This window comes from Homo sapiens, chromosome 8, assembly GCF_000001405.40.
Source record: "Homo sapiens chromosome 8, GRCh38.p14 Primary Assembly".
In the NCBI taxonomy this organism is placed as follows: Eukaryota; Metazoa; Chordata; class Mammalia; order Primates; family Hominidae; genus Homo; species Homo sapiens.
Window position 1 is genome coordinate 15,599,569 of NC_000008.11, and position 19,442 is coordinate 15,619,010.

The following is a 19,442-nucleotide window of genomic DNA, read 5'->3' on the forward strand; positions in this document are numbered from 1 at the left end:
CATTAGGTCTGATTCATACAGAGTTAACTTTTGTGAGGGGTGTAAAGTCTAGATTCATTTTTTTGCATGTAGATATCTAGCTGTTCTAGCATCATTTGTTGAGATTCTCTTTGCTCCGTTATATTGCTTGTGGTTTTTTTTTTTTTTTGTCAAAGATCAGTTGATTATGTCAGTCTGTTTCTTAGCCCTCTATTCTGTACTATTGATCTGTTATTTTGCCAGTACCCCACTGTCTTTATTATTGTAACTTTGTAGTGTATGTTGAGGTTGGAGGTTGGGAAGTATCCTCCAAGTCTGTTCTCCTTAAATGTTGGTTGGCTATAATGGCTCTTTTACTTCTCCAAATAAACTTTGTCTATCATCACTTATTAGTTCCAATAGGTTTCTTGTCGATTCTTTTGAATTTTCTGCAAGACAGTCAACGCCATCTGCAAACAAAGACAGTTTTATTTCTTCTTTAGTAATCTGTGTACCTTTTATTTCATTTTCTTGTCTTACTGCATTAGGCGGGACTTCTAGTATGATGTTGAAAACAAGTGGTAGAGGGGACATGGACAATGCTTTTTAAAACAAAACAATTATTTTATAAGCATTTGTTTGTCCTATAAAATTCTAATTCATTTTCCAAATATGTTTTCTATTAGAAAACTGTAGTCTGTGGAAGACCATTTGACAGTAGGGAGAATTATGGCCTTTGTAATGACAGCAAGATAAAATAATGTTGTGGTAGTAATGGCAATTAAGAAAAATGTTGAATACTGAATTAGAATAAAAAATAGAGATGCTTCATCTAAGGACAAACAGGTTTGATTAGGATGTCAGTAGGCTTAGAGAATATGAACATAATCCTAACCCACTTAAAGGAAAATTAGAATTGGGTAGTGATTCTTAGTTTATTTTGTATGTAAATTTCTCTTCCTTGGTACATTTTTATCATTATTGTGACCGTTAAATTTGTTAGGCAAATAGAAGATGCTGTTTTATTCTTGTTTGCTTTGTCTTAGTGGGTTACAGATTAAAATAAATTGGATGGGAGATAGGGGAGAGGGATAAACATACACGAACATTTGAGGAGGTAACTCAGTAATGGTTATAAGATACAAAGTATGAGGTACTGTTTTGCCATGTAAGTTAAGAATTAAAATCACTTTCTCTTCTTGCACCCTCTCAACAACTAGTTAAGCTACTAGCTGTAGATTCTAAACTTTTTAATGTTTATTTTGTTAGCATTATTGATCTTGCTTATAAAGGAATTTTATTCTTTGTAGATTGGTTAAATGTGCTATCAGTGTAAAATTGCTTAATAACGATAGAAATGGTGAACCCAAATTGCATAATAATAATTGTACATATGGAGAGCCAATGTGTTCAGATACTGTGCTAAATACTTTGTATTTAGTTAAAATAATATTTTTTTTCTCAGAAGAAATACACAGGTTCACTGAAATCAAGAGTACAAGTAATTCAGAGTGCAAGCTATAACACTAGAGAACTGTAAAATATGAATTAACTTTGTTAAAGGTCAGCAGATTTGTTACAGTATCCATAGGTAGCAAGCTTAAGGTTAGTCTGTTACCTAAATGATTCTAGTAGGAGGAGTTTTAAACTCATTTCCAAAGAGTATTATTTTGACAGGCAGTATTTGAATTTACTTATTATCATGGCTGGGTAATTTATGTTTGAATTTGTCAGTCTATAAAATGCATTGTTTCCCCCCCGTTGCCTATAAAAAACCATTTCCTCAAACTGTTCTGTGACCAGTATGCACCTGTAGTAGAAATGGAAGGCCCAAGTGTCTAAAGCAACGGGTTTATAGTTTGAATGGATCTAGGGAGAGATCCAGGCACACTGAACAAGAAATAATTTATTAGTGACTCCCTTCTAGTGGCAAAGGCTGGCAACCCAAAACATGACAGCAAAACTGAGATGCTTTCTTTGGAGAATTTTTGGTTGTTTTAGAAGTTAATAAGCTGGAGGCCACACAGCTGATCAGGGGTAGAAACTGGGTTACTTCCATAATTATTTATATTTAAATTTGTTACCTTTTTCTTAAGTTTATTACCTATTTATAAAATCTATTCTGTAGCAATAGGGCCATTGGTTTATTATTAGGTTCAAGGCAAATCTTAGGAGGCTGGGAAGGAAGTAAAGAAATGTACAGTGGTATTATGTATAGTAACAATGGTTCTAATGTAATGAATGGTATTAAGAGCTTTCCTGAGTTTCTGAAGTAATTATGGGTTTTGAGATTTTGTGGCTTGCTTTCTACCAGTTTTTTATGGATATATTTGTATCGTGTGTACATATTATATAAGAATATATTCATATAATATTGTGGTTATTTATGTATTTTTTTTTAGTTTCCAGAATTAACTGACACGCAGAACTAGCATTTATTTGTACATTATAATTTGTATCAATTGAGCATCCCTGATCTAAAAATACGATGTCTACCTGAAATCTGACCCTAAACCCAAAACTTTGTGAGCACTGACATGATGCTCAAAGGAAATGCTAACTGAAGCATTTTGGATTTCAGATGTTAAGAATAAGGATGCTCAGTCAGTAGCCATCCTGAAAACATTCCAAAGTCTGAAAAAAGTCTGAAGTCCAAAATGCTTCTCTTCCCGAGCATTTTGGATGAGGGATACTCAGCCTATATATAGGCCTTCCTTTTTGAATAAATCTATTTTCTTATTGCCTGTTGTTCATGCAGAACTATTTAGCTTTTGTGGATTCTAGCGCAGAATACATGATTAAAGTTTGATTTGTCTGGACAAACTTCCATCATGAATTTTAATACAGTTATGAGGAAAAATACTAAATAAGTTTTATTTCCCCACAGTTTATCAAATGGGTTGTACTTTTTACATCTTACATTTTACATCAACTTGTAAAAAGTATTGTGTTTATTTAGAGGTGATTTCTCTTGGTGGAAGGAGGAAGTAATGCAGAGCTGTGAGGTAAGTAACATGGGGTTTGCAGTCAGACAGGCACAAGTACCTGTCTTTGTGATACTGTGCAAATTGCCTAATCTTGTTGAATGGAGTTGTAATAGGTGCTCTCTCTTTGGGGTTGTGAAGATTAAAATATTTATATGTGTGTGTGTGTGTGTGTGTGTGTGTGTGTATATATGTGTATGTATACGTGTGTATACATATGTACACAAAATATGGGTTGTATGGAACCTAATATGTAGTATGAGTTTAACTTAGATTAGCGATTTTTATTATCACATGTTATTAATTGTATTCCTTTTATACAAAGAAAAAAGGAACTGAAAGTGATCCATGGAAAAGTAAAAGTAGATTATTACCTTGTAACATAAATAAAAAATAAAAACCTAAGTATTAATAACACTTTAATGTTAGTAGATATTTTACGATATCAAGGTAGGGAAGGTCTTTTGAAATAAGACTGAGAGAAGTACAAGTTATAAATAAATGGATTCAATTGGACCACAGTAAAAAAAGAAAAGTCTGTGTGACAAAGGAGACCATAAGTAAATTGATATGTCAAGTCCTAGACAGAAGATATCATAGTTGCCACACATGTAGTTAATTACTAATACATGACTAGTTAATTACCACTAAAGAACTACTACAAATTAATAAGAAAAGAGAACCCAATTGAAAAATAGATAATCTGATCAGAGTTTATCACTGGAACCTGAGTTGTTAATAAACAATATATGTATAATGTCATTAAACATCATGGATATGAAAATTAGAGGAATATTGAGATGCTATTTGTTACTTTTCATCCTGGCAACAGAATGCAAAAAGTCTGACAGTGTTAGTGTTGATAAGTATGTGGGAAAATGGGAACCCACATGTTGCTGGTAGGAGTTAGTTTGGAAAAACAGTTTGGCAATATCTTGTAATTGGTTAGTAAGTTTTTGTATTCTGTGGGCGTATTTGACAGTCTGGTGAATGAAGCCTGTGTACTTCTTTGCAGAAAAATTTTTTAAGTACAATATATAGGATTATAAAAGATAGTCATATTGAAATATCATTATTACAATATAAAAATATGATATGGTAATATTTTTATGAAGAAATTTTATAACAAGAATTTAGTGACAGGTCTGATAGCCATTACAAGTTCAAAATGATGATGAACATGAACTGTGTCTTGAGATATCAGCAATGAATGGAATGGAATAGGAAAGTACCTGCGATTCCTATGGTTTACCAAGTCACAGGGACTGCTAATTCTATTTTTTTTTTGCCTCCACTTATAACTGAAATGTTAAATTTTACAGACTTATGTAAATGAAGATGTTTTTCCCCTTTTTCAAGTTTATCACCTCCTTGAGTTAGAATCATAGAACTTACAGATGCCAGTTTAAGAACCCTTTTAGAGTGACTTTTACTCATGAATAATGATAATGATTCTATTATTGCTTATTAGAAAAATGAGAAAGCCTATGTGACCATTATTAAGAGAAATGGAAAAATGTAATATATTAATATGATGGGGTGCCCTACAGCAATGCAGATAAATGACTTACCTATAAGCGTCAATATGCAGAGGTTTCTAAAACAAAAGTTTGAATTAAAAGTTTCAGTATGATATTGAGATAGAGTATTATGCAAATTAAAGACATATGTAACATTTTATTGTATGGTTTTTGATTTTATGTACCTGTTTATGGGTGCGTCTTTATACACATAAAGATAGATTTGAGAAAAACAGTGTTTTTAGTTTAGTGGAAAAGAGGGGGAAAGTAAGATGGGATAAAGGAATTCAGAGGTACCTGTAGTATTTTAATTATTTATGTTAGGAAATAAACCAAATAGATTGCAAACTAACAGACCTTATTCGATGATAATTGTCATTGATGAGTACGTGGGTTTTTGTTTTATTATTATTTGTGCTTTTCTGCATTAAAATAGTTCCCCAAATTCTCAAAATAGTAGTTATTAACAAGAAAATATTTTCTTATAATTATTGTAAATATTTTAATAAAAATACAAGTGGCACCAAGATAGATTATCAGTTGCAAAGGGGATTAACTTTTGTCATTTGCTTCAGGTACATATGGGTTACTGAATAATTACCGAATTAATTGTTTTCTAGTTAATGCCAAGTGTTTCTTGCCTTTTGGTTTTCTATTTAGAATGTCAAAGTAAGCCTTTGAACAGTCATTGATATTTATGGTAGCAGAATGTTAACTCTCTGAATATGGTTAGGACTGTGGTATTCTGCAGTAACTTAATAGCCCTACATTTTTTCTATATTTGGCATTTTTATTACCAGAGAATCTCCAAACTTTATCTTACAAGACCCAGGAAAATGGTTTTATTTGTTGGGCTTATATTGGTTTCTTGTATCTGTTTTTCTCTAATGGTTCACTAAATTAGTTTTGAAATATCTGGGATTGCTTTCTTCAGTTTTTTGGTAAAGAGATACATAAAACTCTGGTTATTGTAGAGAAGTTCTGATACTCCAGGCCATTTTTACTGAAATGAACTAAGGTGTTAGTCAGTAAAGATGAATGTAGTAGTGACTGTGGAAGTTAGAATATAATGAAACATCCTCATTTTCTCAAATAGCAGCCTGACCCCAAGCGTGAAGTGAGCATCGCTTCCAAAAGAGTAGAATCAATCAATAGATGGGAAGATTAGTATAGGAACAGCAAAGAAGCACAGAGTAACTCATGCCGCTACCTGGCTTTGTTTCATATCTTTTCCTAGAGGAATCAAAATTACTTGTCTTTTAGTCACTCTTTTTTTGCATGTCTCTTAAACTGTCTCTAACTGGCAATAACTGTTGTTTTATTGTTTATAAAGCACCACAGGTAAAAATTTCAAATCACATGATTCATAAAGTAAAAATAAACATAACCATTTATCTTCTCCTGTAGAAGGAAGCCATTATTGATTTGCTACACAGTTGACCCTTGAACAACATGGGTATGAATTGCGTGGGTCTATTTATACATAGATTTTTTTCAAATCAATATATTGGAAAATTTTTTTAAGATATGTGACAATTTGAAAGCATTCTAAGATGGACTGCATTGCCTTACAAATACCAAAAAAAATGGAGAAAAAAGTCTGTCAAGAGGGCATAAAATGTATATACATACTAGTCTATTTTCATCGTTTAGTACCATAAGATATACACAAATCTATTATAAAAAGGTCAAAACTTGTTAAAACTTAGACACACAGTTACAAATCACACATGACACCACTTGCAGTTGAGGGAAATGTAAACAAACATAAGGTTGCCATATTAAATCACAACTGCATAAAATTAACTGTAGTACGTTATAGGCTACTGTCATAACTTCGTAGCTGCATTCCGTTGCTATTAGGGTGAGCTTAAGTGTTGCAGTAGCCACTTAAAATGCCTTATGACACTGATCATCTCCATGTGAGCCCTTCATCTCTCCAGTGAGTTGCATATTGCAGTAAACAGTGATCACCCGAGGTTCTCCTGTATTTTTCATTCTGTTTAATGTAATAGTGTAAACCTTGAATAACACCATGGGACGCAAACAAAATGCCACTAGGGATGCTGGAGGTGCTCCCAAGAAGCAGACAAGCCATGACATTACAAGAAAAAGTTGAGTTGCTTGATAGATACCATAGATTGAGATCTGTACCTGTGGTTGCTCCCATTTTAAACAGATGATTCATCTTGTAAACAGGTGACAGAAACTTATAGTATGAGTAAATACAATACAGTACTATAAATGTATTTTGTCCTATGATTTCTAAATAACATTTTCTTTAGCTCACTTTATTGTAAGAATATTGCATATAATACATGTACAAAATCTGTGTTAATTGACTATGTTATTGGTAAGGCTTCTGGTCAGCAGTAAGCTTTTAGTAGTCAATTTTTGGGGAGTGAACACTTAACACGTGATTTTTGACTGTGTGGGTGCCCCTAACCTTCCCATTGTTCTATATTATTTCAAATATTTAGCATGTATGTAAAAAAGTTAATGAGTGAATAGGCACACACAAATTGTGGATATTCTTGTAGGTAAGTCTGTTTCATCTTGTTAAATAACTATAATACTGTCTTGTTTCATACCATGTTATGATGTAATCAGATTCCTCTCTGTAGGCATAAATATTATATCCAAATACTTGGAATTATGAACAGTGCTTCAGTGAATATCCTTTTATATTTACGTGTGTACTTTGTCTGATTATTTCTTTAGGATAAATTCCTAGAAATGGCATTGATGAACTAAAGGAAACACACATTTAAAGCTTCGTATGTATTATAAATGTGACTTCTTGAAAGATGTTACCAATGCATAGCCATATTGTATCCCTTGGTACAGTTTTAACTTACGTTTTCCAGTGGTATTTTTAATAAAACATTGTGTGTGTGTGTGTGTGTATGTGTATATGTGTATATATATACTTATAAAACAAAGTACAATGTTTTATAATATTTTAATCCAGTTAATATTAGCATTCAACATGGATGGTATCTTATGTACAGACTACCCGCAAGTTTCAGTAGTAAGCTTTTACCCTGTGCTGTTCTCTCTGATCATAATCCCAAATGTTTTAAAAAGGGCATTTCTCCTGCCACAAATGGTTGGGGGAGAGCGTCTGAACCAAGGAAACGTGTGGACCAGAAAAGAGCTGTGTTAATTCTATTTCTGTATTTTCAGTACATTTTTTTCATTACTTAATTAGTTACACAAATATTTATTTAATGAGGCAGGCACCGGCCTGGTCACTGGGCATACAGTGATGGTAGAGACAGTTCTAGGCTCTCAAGAATTTATAATTTAGTGATAGAAACTTTTAAGTGGCTCAAAACAGTCAACTCCTTTACAAACTACAGTTATAATACATTTGTAAAGTGTGTGTATAGTTTACATACATTTGTAAAATAATTTAGTGTAACAAAGCAAAATAGAAATAAAGATGAGAAAAAATTTTATTGAAACATGTCACCACCTACAAACAATTGTCATTAAGTAAAATTTACTTCTCCTCTAACATTTCATTATGAACTTCTAAAACATAAAGGTAAGCTGAGAGAATTTACACTGAATACCCAGATATCGACTACCTAGATTCCACAATTAACAATTGACTGTGCTTGCTTTATCGCAACTCCATCTTATGTATCAGCAATCATTCTGTCTTTTTAAATGCATTTTAGAGTAAGCTGGAGAAAAGTGTCCTTCCTTCAATATGCATAACATGAACTATTGTTTTAAGCAGCACTGTGTTTCAGTTAAATCTGTATTGATTGACTATATGCTATTAAAAATGTAGAAATTTTGTACTTTTACATTTCCTCCCTAATTCTCTTCCCTGTCAGCAAATATTTGATAAATTACTTTGTCTAGTTATGGAACGTAATGAAGTGTCATATCTTGAATGCCCATATAATTTACCTGAACTGGAATATTTTTGATAAGCATGCAGTGATACAGCAAGTGCAGTTTGGGGTTTCCTTAGCAAACCAGAATGGTGAGAATGTCTATAACAATAAATGCCAGAGTAGTTTATTCTTGGTTTTACATTTAAATGTATTTGCATTTAATTAGCACTATATTCACATTTGGCTTTTACCATAGCTTATTTCCTGAGTTCTTGATTTTGATTCACCTCTTGGCTGAATTTTATCCATAGCTTCTCTTTTCCTGAGTTCCTTATTTTGATTGAGTTCTTGGTTATATTTTATCCTCAAGAGGTTCCTCTCTTTTCCATGAGTGTTTAATGTGTACTGAATTCCTTAGTTTTTTTTTGCTTGCTTTGTTACTTTATATTGGTGCTTTTTGTAAACAATAAATTCCAATATAAAATAGTTGTTTGTCTTATAGGGATAAATTGAACAATAGTAGGGACATCCTAGGGCTAGGGGTGAGCCTAGAATCTTATCTCTAATATTACTCAGTCTTCCACATGAAGTGTGATGTAAGAAGTTTCTTCGGAGATTTTTACCTTTGTATATTGATATGGTTTGGCTCTGTGTCCCCATCCAAATCTCATCTTCATTTGTAATTCCCATGTGTCACGGGAGGAACCTGATGGGAGGTGATTGGATTATGGGGGTGGTTTCCCCCATGTTGTTCTTGTGATAGTGCGTGAGTCTCGTGAGATCCGATGGTTTTAAAAGTGGCAGTTTTTCCTTTGCTTTCACTTCACTTCTCTTGCCTGCCACCATGTAAGATGTGCCAGCTTCCCCTTCCACCATGATTGTAAGTTTCCTGAGGCTCTCCAGCCATGCGTAACTGTCAGTCAATTAAACCTCTTTCCTTTATAAATTACCCAGTCTTGGATATTTCTTTATAGCAGTGCAAAAACTGACTAATACATATACCTTTGTACAAAATAACCAAAAGAAATCTTTGATTCTACTCCCAAAAAACTTGACTTGCTCTTGCCATTTGGAAGAAACTTGGTAGAATTAAACACTGTTTAAGTTGATGAAAAACAAGCGTTGGAAATTTTTTAAAGTACATTTAAAACTTTGCTCTTGGCTGATTTTCTGTTGGATTCTATTGAATTTTTCTTTGTTTTGACGATGTAAGCGTTACATATTTTAGTGACTGATTTGTGTGAATCAAGAATAAAGTCACTGAAAAAATTAACTCAATTTTACAATTTATGAGTATAGTTACGGTTTTGTTTTGCCACATTCTGTTAGTAAAAGTTTTTTTCAGCTGTGACACATAATATGTGGCCATTAATAGTGAAGAGTTACACACAATGACTTCTAAAGCAGTGCAAGATAATTTTATGATATAATGTATTACTACAATAGAGTACCTGCTATACTCATTTACACTGGTAATAGTCATCTTGTCTGGATCTGTATTCCCAAGAGAGGCAGGCCAGATGGCTGTGTACAGCTGGAAGTAGATTTTCTTCTAAGCTTTTAACAGCTGCTCTCATTTCTTATATCTGGTACTTGTTTTAAAATGAGATATTTATTTATAAATGAATGTCCAACAGAAGGATATGAAAGAGTTCAAGAAAAATGGTGACAGAAGCTAATGCAGTGGTGGAAAAAAAAATGGGAAGCTCATTTGACCCATTTGATGACTGTCCCTGATTAAAATGACTTCATATTTTGAGTCTTCAGAGAAAGTATCATGATTCCCATTATAATGATACTGTCTCTTGATAGTAGGGTATTGTACTTAAGCAATTTTTTAGTGAAAAATTGTCAGGAGGACAACAAACATTTAAAAAAAAACATGTTTTCACTGTACATTAAAAATAAAACAGAGTAACTCCCAAAACCAAAAAAAGGCCATTTTCAACTATTTACATGACTTTATGACCTATCTTTATCAATAAACATACACTTTTGTGATACTAATATATTACTATGAATATATTACCTTCTATCTTTCCACTTACTGTTATGATATAATTTTCTTACTAGTCACCACATTTCATTTTAGTCTCTGGTATTTTATTGTATTATTATGCTCTTTATTTCCTAGCTGTTTTTATTTTTGTTGCTGTTGATCACATAACTATGTTTATATGGTTTAACTATTTTTCTTTTGGAAATTTTTAAGGTATATTAAGAAAGGTATGATGAATAAATTATAATCAGTTTAATGTATTTTGTATCGTTGTTTTTATGAGGGGCTTTGCGTTTTAGGCACTGGATTTATTTCATAGCATACTTTGAAATCCATAAAATTCCATACATTCATTGATCCGATTTTGTTATTACCACAAGTATCAAATGCAAAATATTTCAGTATACTGCATGATGTTTTCGCTGATAAAATTAAGGTATAGCAACATCTAACATTAGAATTCTTAAAATTATTGCTGCAAGGGAGTAGTTAAGTTTCTCATGGAGAAACATTTCTGGTATTTTCAATGTAGAATTTAATGTTGATGTGTTTCTGTGAATTCACTGCTTCCTTTATTAATTTTTATGAATAAGGAAATACTAGCAAACTTGATTTATTTTAAATCTTTGGAATATTAATTTAACATCTGGCAACAGCAATTCTTAAGTTCTTATTGTTATACTGATTTTATATATAAGTGAGATACATATGCAAGTTTCGGAAACAGTTGTTACTTCGAAATATTCTTTTTTGCCTTTGAACCAGAGAATAAATAGAGCAAAGAGACTGGCAAATTGAAGTAAACCCCTTTAAAAAAGTGACATTTGAATAGGGCTACTGTGTTAGCAATTCCTATATTAGAGCGTAAAAGTTTTACAAATTTTCCATTCATTCAGTAGAGGTATAGGGAGGGCTTGAGGGCCTCTCAGGAGCCACCAGTGTTCAGGATGCTCTCCGGGGTACAAAGATGGTCAAAATGTGGATCTCTCCTCAGGGAAAATTTCTGAGGAGAGTTCAGGTTGATAGACACATAACTAAAAGAGTGTTACTGGACTTATTTTTAATATGTCTCTAGAAAAAGTTCACTTAATTGAATATTGTAGTACCGTCCACTGAAAGCTTCTTTTTCAAAAAAAGTGTGATATTAGAATAACTTAATTTCTCTATTTCTCATTAGATAACTTTACACAAACAAAAGGTCTTTAGGATCTTCCCAGAGGTGGAATTGGTTTGGGATTTTACAGTATTTCTTTCTTTAATTTTTATAGTGTTCTGTATCAAATATTTCAAAGAACTTTTTTGTTGTTGCTGTTGTTGTTTTTTTGAGACAGAGTCTTGCCCTGTCTCCCAGTCTGGAGGGCAATGGCGTGATCTCGGCTCACTGCAAATCCCGCCTCCCAGGTTGAAACGATTCTCCTGCCTCAGCCTCCCAAGTAGCTGAGATTACAGGCACCTGCCACACATCCAGCTAATTTTTGTATTTTTAGTAGAGATGAGGAGGTTTCACCATGTTGGCTAGGGTGGTCTCAAACTCCTGACCTCGTGATCTGCCCGCACCGGCCTCCCAAAGTGCTGGGATTACAGGCGTGAGCCATCGTACCTGGCTACCTTTTTGCTTTTGAATGTAATGATAATTGTTTTCTGATGGATTGCTGATTACATTATCTCTAGAGAGACCATGATTTGCTGAGTTCTTAACTGATTAACCTCTTGGAATTTTTGCTTTCTTTATGGCGTGTGTGCTGTATGCATTTTATATTTCTGATAAAAATGGTGTATTTGTTTAATTTACTGTATAGCTCATTGTGGTCTTCTGAGTGCCTTTAAAGGTAGTGGTGGTCTTTACTGAACTATCAGTTTGTAATGTAGATGAGGTGGTATAGTGCTTAATCTCTGATTTTTTGGTTCCTAGAAGCATTAATTGCCCTTTATATATTTTTAAATCTGTTAAGTATGACATAATATTAAGAAATATGAATACAGATTTTTAAGATCGAATTTCCAACATGGAAGATAACTTTTCTACTAAATGCAAAACGATATGCATCTGGCTGCTCATGTTTGGTTTATCGTTGGGTTTTCATTGAACTCCTTAAATATTAGAGTCTTGAAAAGTAAAGGCTTCTTGTTCTCTTAGAGACTCCTTTAAAAATATAAGAAGAACAGAAGGGGTCATGATATTGTTTCTGTGGGTTAGCAGTTGATACCTTCAACATGTACGTCTTGTTCTCATTCCAGATCTGCATGCTGTGAATTACTATAAGCAAGTTTTATTATGGCTATTTTGATGAGTACCTGCTATTCAGATAGCAGGTACCTGAATAAGTACTGTATATGTGACTGGTAAACAAACACGTGAATAGCTGCCCCCCTGGCAGAGGCATCTTGGTTAAAGACATGAGACCACATATCTTTTTGCCTTGGTACATCTGGTCATGTTCCTAGGGATAAAATGTTGAAACAAACAAACAAACAAGAAAGAGTAAAAAATATGAGATTAGTGAGCTCTTATTCTATTTAAGCTTCACTTTGGAATGAACCATTGTATTACGTATTGTTTAATGCAATGTACTATTTCTTGTATTTTTGGTTATAAATTGGTTATTGTAGTAAAATGTGAATTGAGAAAAAATGGAGTGGTGTCATAATTTGGAGACTGGTATATAGATTATGCCAGCTTGTTTATTATACTGAGTTGCTATAAAGTTAAGCCTTCATAAAATGTTAAGATAAAAATACAAGAAGGAAAAAATATAAGAAAGAGGAATGGGCATCTGAACGTATTATGACTGATTCTATTAACTTCATTCATAGATGTGACCTTCTAACCTTTGTTTTTTATAAAGTAACAAGGATGGGGCTTTTTTGTTTTGTTTTGTTTTTGAAGATTCTAAGTTACAGATTTCTTTTTCCTTTTCTGATGTGACAGATTTATGGCATCTTGGACTGTATGTCCCATCTTGTATCAGTAAGAGACAAAGCCAACCGATCACCCACTCTTCACTGATCGGACCAGTCTAGACTTCAGAATCTTCTGCAGTGAATTTAAAGGAGCCACAATATCAGTTAATGTTCACAGAAACAATATATTCTTTACCATCCCTTCCTGAGTTGGCACTAAGCCGTTTACTTAAGAGCAGAGCTACAGCCATCGCATATCAATATAAGCCATATTATATATATGATATATATATATATATCATATATATGTATTTTATATGTGTTTGTGTGTGTGTACACATGGACACTTTTTAGTGCTAGAGTTTATTTGCCTTAAGGGCTTGAGAGTAGGATCTGTCTTATTTGTGCCAAATTTGGGGACAATGGGATTCATGTAACATGTCTTACAGTGCTTTTTTTTTTTAAGTAAATTTAGCACAGTGCTTTTCTTGTAATACTCAGAAACATTAGGTAACTCTGAGATTGAAGGTATTAATGAGATTTAAAAAATTCCCACTGCAGATAATTCTTTTAGCAATGTGATCTGTGTTGTTGTTAGATCATGACCTGAAGAAAAGGAAAAGAAATTTGAGTGTCTTAGCATTTGTAAGATGCAGTGCTAAGAGTTTTCCATGCATTGGCCCATGCAGTTTTACAAACATCAAGTCTCATGAGATGTGATGGTTTTATGAAGGGGAAGTTCCCTGTACATGCTGTCTCTTGCCTGCTGCCATGTTAAGATGTCCCTTTGCTGTTCTTCGTCTTCTGCCATGATTGTGAGGCCTCCCCAGCCATGTGGAACTGTGAGTCCATTGAACCTCTTTCCTTTATAAATTACCCAGTCTCGGGTATGTCTTTATTAGCAGTGTGAAAACAGACTAATACAAATACATATAGCATTATCTCAGGTTTTGTAAGAGTTGTATTATATTCCATCTTATAGATATTTCTGTTCTCCTTTAACTTTAACATTCCCTTTAAGCATGGACTTTTTTGACCCAACTTTCATTCTTCACTGGGAATAGGGAGCTGAGATTCATGAGCATAATTTTCTTCAGAAGACCAAAAGGGACACCCAAACAGAGAAGTTTGAATTAGGCCTTTGAGATCTAATTTAGAGATTCACTCATTTTCCCTGTGTTATCTCCCATGTGTACAGGAAGTATACATTTGTGAAGCTTCTGGTGTTTTGTTATTTTTTTTTTTTTTTCGGTGGGGGTCTGAGTTAAGAACTCCATGAAGGATAGAAGAGAAAATTATTTTTTTCTCCCCTAAAGACTTGAGAATTCTCAGATTATTTAGTACCAAAATTGTGTTTCTGAGAGAACTAAGTATTTTCTCTGCATTAGCCATAACACATATTATTTTAATTAAGGTTTCTGTTTTTTTAATCACCTCATGGAAACACTGAGTCTAGGCTGAGATGGGGGTCTTTAGTATTGGATGAGGCTCACTTATGCCCACTAGCCTTTATGTAGGTATGTTTTACATTTCTTAACATGCACTCATTTAAGTGTATGATTAAATGACTTTCAGTAACTTTAGTGAGTGGTACAACCATCACTAGAAATCAGTTTTAGAACATTTTATCTCTTCAGTAAGATATTTGTGACTGTTTACAGTTAATCCCTGTTCTTACCTTGAGGCCCAGACAACTGCTTATCTACTTCTTGTCTTTATAAATTTGCCTTTCTAGACTTTTTATATAAATGGGAGAATAAAATGTGTGGTCTGTTATGTCTGGCTTCTTTCAGTGAATATAATGTTCCTGAGGCTTATCCATGTCGTGGCAGTTACAAGTTGGCTTCTTTTTATTTCCTAGCAGTATTCCATTGTGTGGACCTACCATATTTTGTCTATCCATTCAACAGTTGATGAAAATTTAAGTTTTCATGACATTTAAATTTAAAGTCATGCTTGTACAAATTTGTAAATTGCCTTGGACATAGTAATCTGTGAAATGCCGGATTATTATTCTTTTTTGCTAAGGATATAGTTACATAATAATTTATATATGAAACAGACTCCTTGGGTTAGAATTGAAATTTCCAATTTACTTTTTATATATAGTGAAAGTATACAAGTACAGCTATTCAGGCTGTTATTAAAAAGACCAAAAAAAAAAAAAAAAACCACCCCAAAATTCGGAAAAGGACGCGTAGTAAAGGGAACTCTTGTACACTCATCGTGGGAATGTGAATTAGTACAGCCATTATGGAAAACAGTATAGAGATTTCTTTAAAAACCAGAAATACAACAACCATAATATTCAGCAATCTCAATGATGGTTATTTATCCAAAGGAAAGGAAATCAGTGTATCAAAGAGATACCTGTCCTCTCATGTTTATTGAAGCATTATTCACAATACCCCTGATGTGGAATCAACCTAAGTGTCCATCAATAGATGAATGGATAACAAAAGTGTTGTATATACACAATGGAATGTTATTCAGCTGTAAGAAGAAATGAAATCTTGCCATTCACAGCAACATGGATGAGTCCAGAGGACATTGTGTTAAATGAAGTAAGTCAGGCACAAAAAGACAAACATCACATGTTCTCACTCATATGGGAGTTAAAAAGAAACCAAAAACCAGATTGAGCTCATAGAAGTAGAGAGTAGAATTACAATTATTAGAGGATGGGAAAAGTAGGCAGGAGGGGAGGATAGGAAGAGGTTATTTAGCCACAAAATTACAGATAAGAGTAATAAGTTCTAATGTTCTATAAGCAGTGTAGGGTGAATATAGTTTACACTAATATACTATATATTTTCCAAATCTAGAAGAGAGGATTTCAGATGTTCACAGCACAAGGAAATGATAAATGTTTGAGGTGATACATATTCTAATTACCCTGATTTAAATCATTACATATTGTATAGTATGTAGAAATATCCCTCTCTACCATAAATATGTATAATTATTGCCTGTCAACTGAAAAGGAAAAAAGAAAATACAGGACGTTTATACACTAAAATACTACAAAAATGAGTTAAACCCATAAGTACTGAAATGAAAAAATGAAGAGAGGCTGGTTAAAGGATATAAACATGTAGTTAGATAGAAGGAATAAGTTCCACAGTTCCGTGGCTTGAACTTGTGGACTCAAGTGATCCTCTGGACTCAGCCTCTTGAGTAGCTAGGACCACGTGAACACACCATGAAGACTGGCTCATTTAAAAAAAAATTTTGTGGAGTTGGGGCCTCACTGTGCTGCAGTCCAGGCTGGTGTAGGAATAAGTTCTAATGGTCGATAACAGAGTAGGAAGGTATAATAAAAGTAGATAATTTAGTGTGGTATAGGAATAGGTTCAGAAATGAAGACTCTTAAAGAATAAAAGTAGAGATCTTGATTTTTTTGCTTTTTTTCAATAGGGACTAATTTCTGTTTTAGAAGTTTATAGTGACATGTATTTTTATACAAAATTTACTCCTAGAAATTTGCATATTATATATGTGTTTCAGAATATCAGGCCAGGTGTGGTGGCTCACGCCAGTAATCCCAGCACTTTGGGAGGCCATGGCGGGTGGATCACCTGAGGTCAGGAGTTGGAGACCAGCCTGGCCAACATGGCAAAACTCCGTTTTTACTAAAAATACAAAAATTAGCCCGTCGTGGTGGCTCACGCCTGTAATCAGTCTACTCGGGAAGCTGAGGCTGGAGAATCGTTTGAACCTGGGAGGTGGAGGTTGTAATTTGCGGAGATAGCACCACTGCCCTCCAGCCTGTGTGACAGAGTGAGAGTTCATCTTAAAATAAAATTAATCTGTTTTATTGATTTTAAAATAAATTCAAATATGTTAAAACTATCAAGCTCAATTGGAAATATTTTTCATTCATTCTGGCTGTGCTGTGGGTGGCAGGAAGGAGAGAGCGCTACAACAGTCCTTGGGGGCTCTGACCTCGAGACTCCCTGAGCAAGAGCCCTAACACCCCTTGGTGCTCTGCCGTTGCTGGCATCTCTGAGTTTTTGGGTGCCGCTGCGTTCCCCTCATCCAGATGTCGATTTCCAAGTCAGAAGCAGGTCGCCGCATGCCTGGCCCAGCCACAGGCCAAGCATAGAACTGCAGTTGGCACAGAATCTGGGCCAGTAGCATGAGACCAGCATGGCCGAGTGGGCAGAATGAGCCCAGCAAAGCCTGATCAGAGGCGCTGCTTGCTGGCCACAGAGATTTCCGGCTAGCGAAGTGGCTTTGAAAGAATCCTGTGTAATCAGCAGACAGAGGGAGGAAATAGATGTACACTAATCCACTCACTCATACAAGTCTATATTTGTTTCTGTATCTATCTGTAAAATGTGTGTGTGTGTATATATTTTTTTTTTTTTTTTTTTGAGACAGAGTCTTGCTCTGTCGCCCAGGTTGCAGTGCAGTGGTGTGATCTCCGCTCACTGCAAGCTCCGCCTCCCAGGTTCAAGTGATTCTCCTGCTTCAGCCTCCTGAGTAGCTGGGACTGCAGGTTCGTGCCACCACGCCTGGCTTATTTTTGTATTTTTAGTAGAGACAGGGTTTCACCATATTGGCCGGGGTGGTCTCGAACTCCTGACCTCTTGATCTGCCCGCCTAGGCTTCCCAAAGTGCTAGGATTACAGGCGTGAGCCACCGCGCCTGGCCTGTATTCCTGTTTAAAAAGCCACACATTAATATGGATGCCTCCAACTCCTGTCCAACGTCACAATATGCATTCTGGCCCTCCCCCTTTCCTTATTTGTGAGTTCTTCTCTGACAGTGATACAAAGCCAGATGTATATTTACTTACTTGTTCAACTATGGTGTACTCATTAAGTACAGAAGTGGTAATACATACCTCTGTGAGAAACAAAAATAACTTGAGTATGTTATTTGTGTACAGCTTCTTTTTCTCTTTGGCTTTAAGAATATCCAGTCAAATACTGTTTTCCAAAGTTATGTTTACGTTAGTAATGCAGTCAAGTTCAGTTGTTAAAGTTTGGTTTTTATTTTGAAACCATCCTCCCAACCCTGGCTGATCATTTAAAAATATGTAAGGCAGAAACCATTTTTGTGTTGTCTACTGTTGTGTTATTTAAAGACAAAAGTATGCTCACCGAAACCTAGATGGTATAGTCTACTACACACCCAGGCTGTGTGGTATAGCTCCTAGGGTACAAAGCTGTACACAATAGTACTCTACTAAATATTGTAGGCAGTCGTAACACAATAAGAAGTATTTATGTATCTAACCACGTCTAAATTTAGAAATGGTACAGCAAAGATATGGTATAAAAGGTAAAAAAAATGGTCCACCTGTCTAGGACACTCTCCATGAATGGAGCTTTCAGGCCTGGAGGTTGCTCTGGGTGAATAAGTCAGTAGCGGTGAGTGAGTGTGAAGGCCTGGGACGTTACTGTACACTACTGTAGACTCTATAAACACTGCACGCTTAGGCTTTATCGAAAGATTTTTCTTTGATAATAAATTAACTTTACCCTACTAGAACTTTTTTTAAAAGTTTTTAATTTTTTTTAACTTTTTGACTCTTGTAATAACAGTTAGCTTAAAATACAAACACATTTTACAGCTGTACAAAAATATTTTCTTTATATCCTTATTCTGTAAGCTTTTTTCTGATTTTTTAAGAAGTTTTTATACTTTATTGTTGAAAACTAAGACACACATACATTAGCCTAGGCCTGCACATGGTCAGGATTATCAATATCACTATCTTCCACCTCCACATCTTGTCCCACTGGGGGGTCTTCAGGTGCAATAACAGTTATGGAACTGTCATCTCCTAGGATAACATTCTCTTCTGGACACCTCGTAAAGGACCTGCCTGAGGCTGTTGTACAGTTAACTTTAGAAAACAAATAAGCAGAAGGAGTACAGTCTAAAGATAAAAAGTATAGTAAATACATAAAACCAGTAACAAAGTTGTTTATCGTTATCAAGTATTATATACTATACGTAATTGCATGTGCTGTGTTTTCATATGTCTGGCAGCCAGTAGCTTTGTTTACACCAGCATCACCACAAGCACAGGAGTAAAACGGTGTGCTGCAGTGTTACCACGGCTGCCCTTCAGTATTAGGCGGTAAGAATTTTTCAGCCCCATTATAATCTTATGGGACCGTCTTTGTGTATGGAGTCTGTTGTTAAGTGATTAACATCACTGCGACACATGACTGTATTTCTGTGGGTTTTGGCAAATGCAGTCATGGCTCTACCA

General features: G+C 34.5%; 1 protein-coding gene across 32 annotated transcripts in view, besides 1 other annotated feature; it reads left to right on the forward strand.

Annotated features, from left to right (window-relative positions):
- TUSC3 (tumor suppressor candidate 3) overlaps positions 1 to 19,442 on the forward strand; it is a 434,904-nt gene that overhangs the window by 182,381 nt on the left and 233,081 nt on the right. The gene's annotated exons all lie outside the window — the stretch shown is intronic.
- Positions 16,763 to 17,263: an enhancer, noted in NCBI's record as "H3K4me1 hESC enhancer chr8:15473840-15474340 (GRCh37/hg19 assembly coordinates)". NCBI's record gives its function as "activates a minimal SCP1, AML or CMV promoter by ChIP-STARR-seq in primed H9 embryonic stem cells {active_cell/tissue: H9 hESC(primed)}" and the evidence as "EXISTENCE:reporter gene assay evidence [ECO:0000049][PMID:30033119]".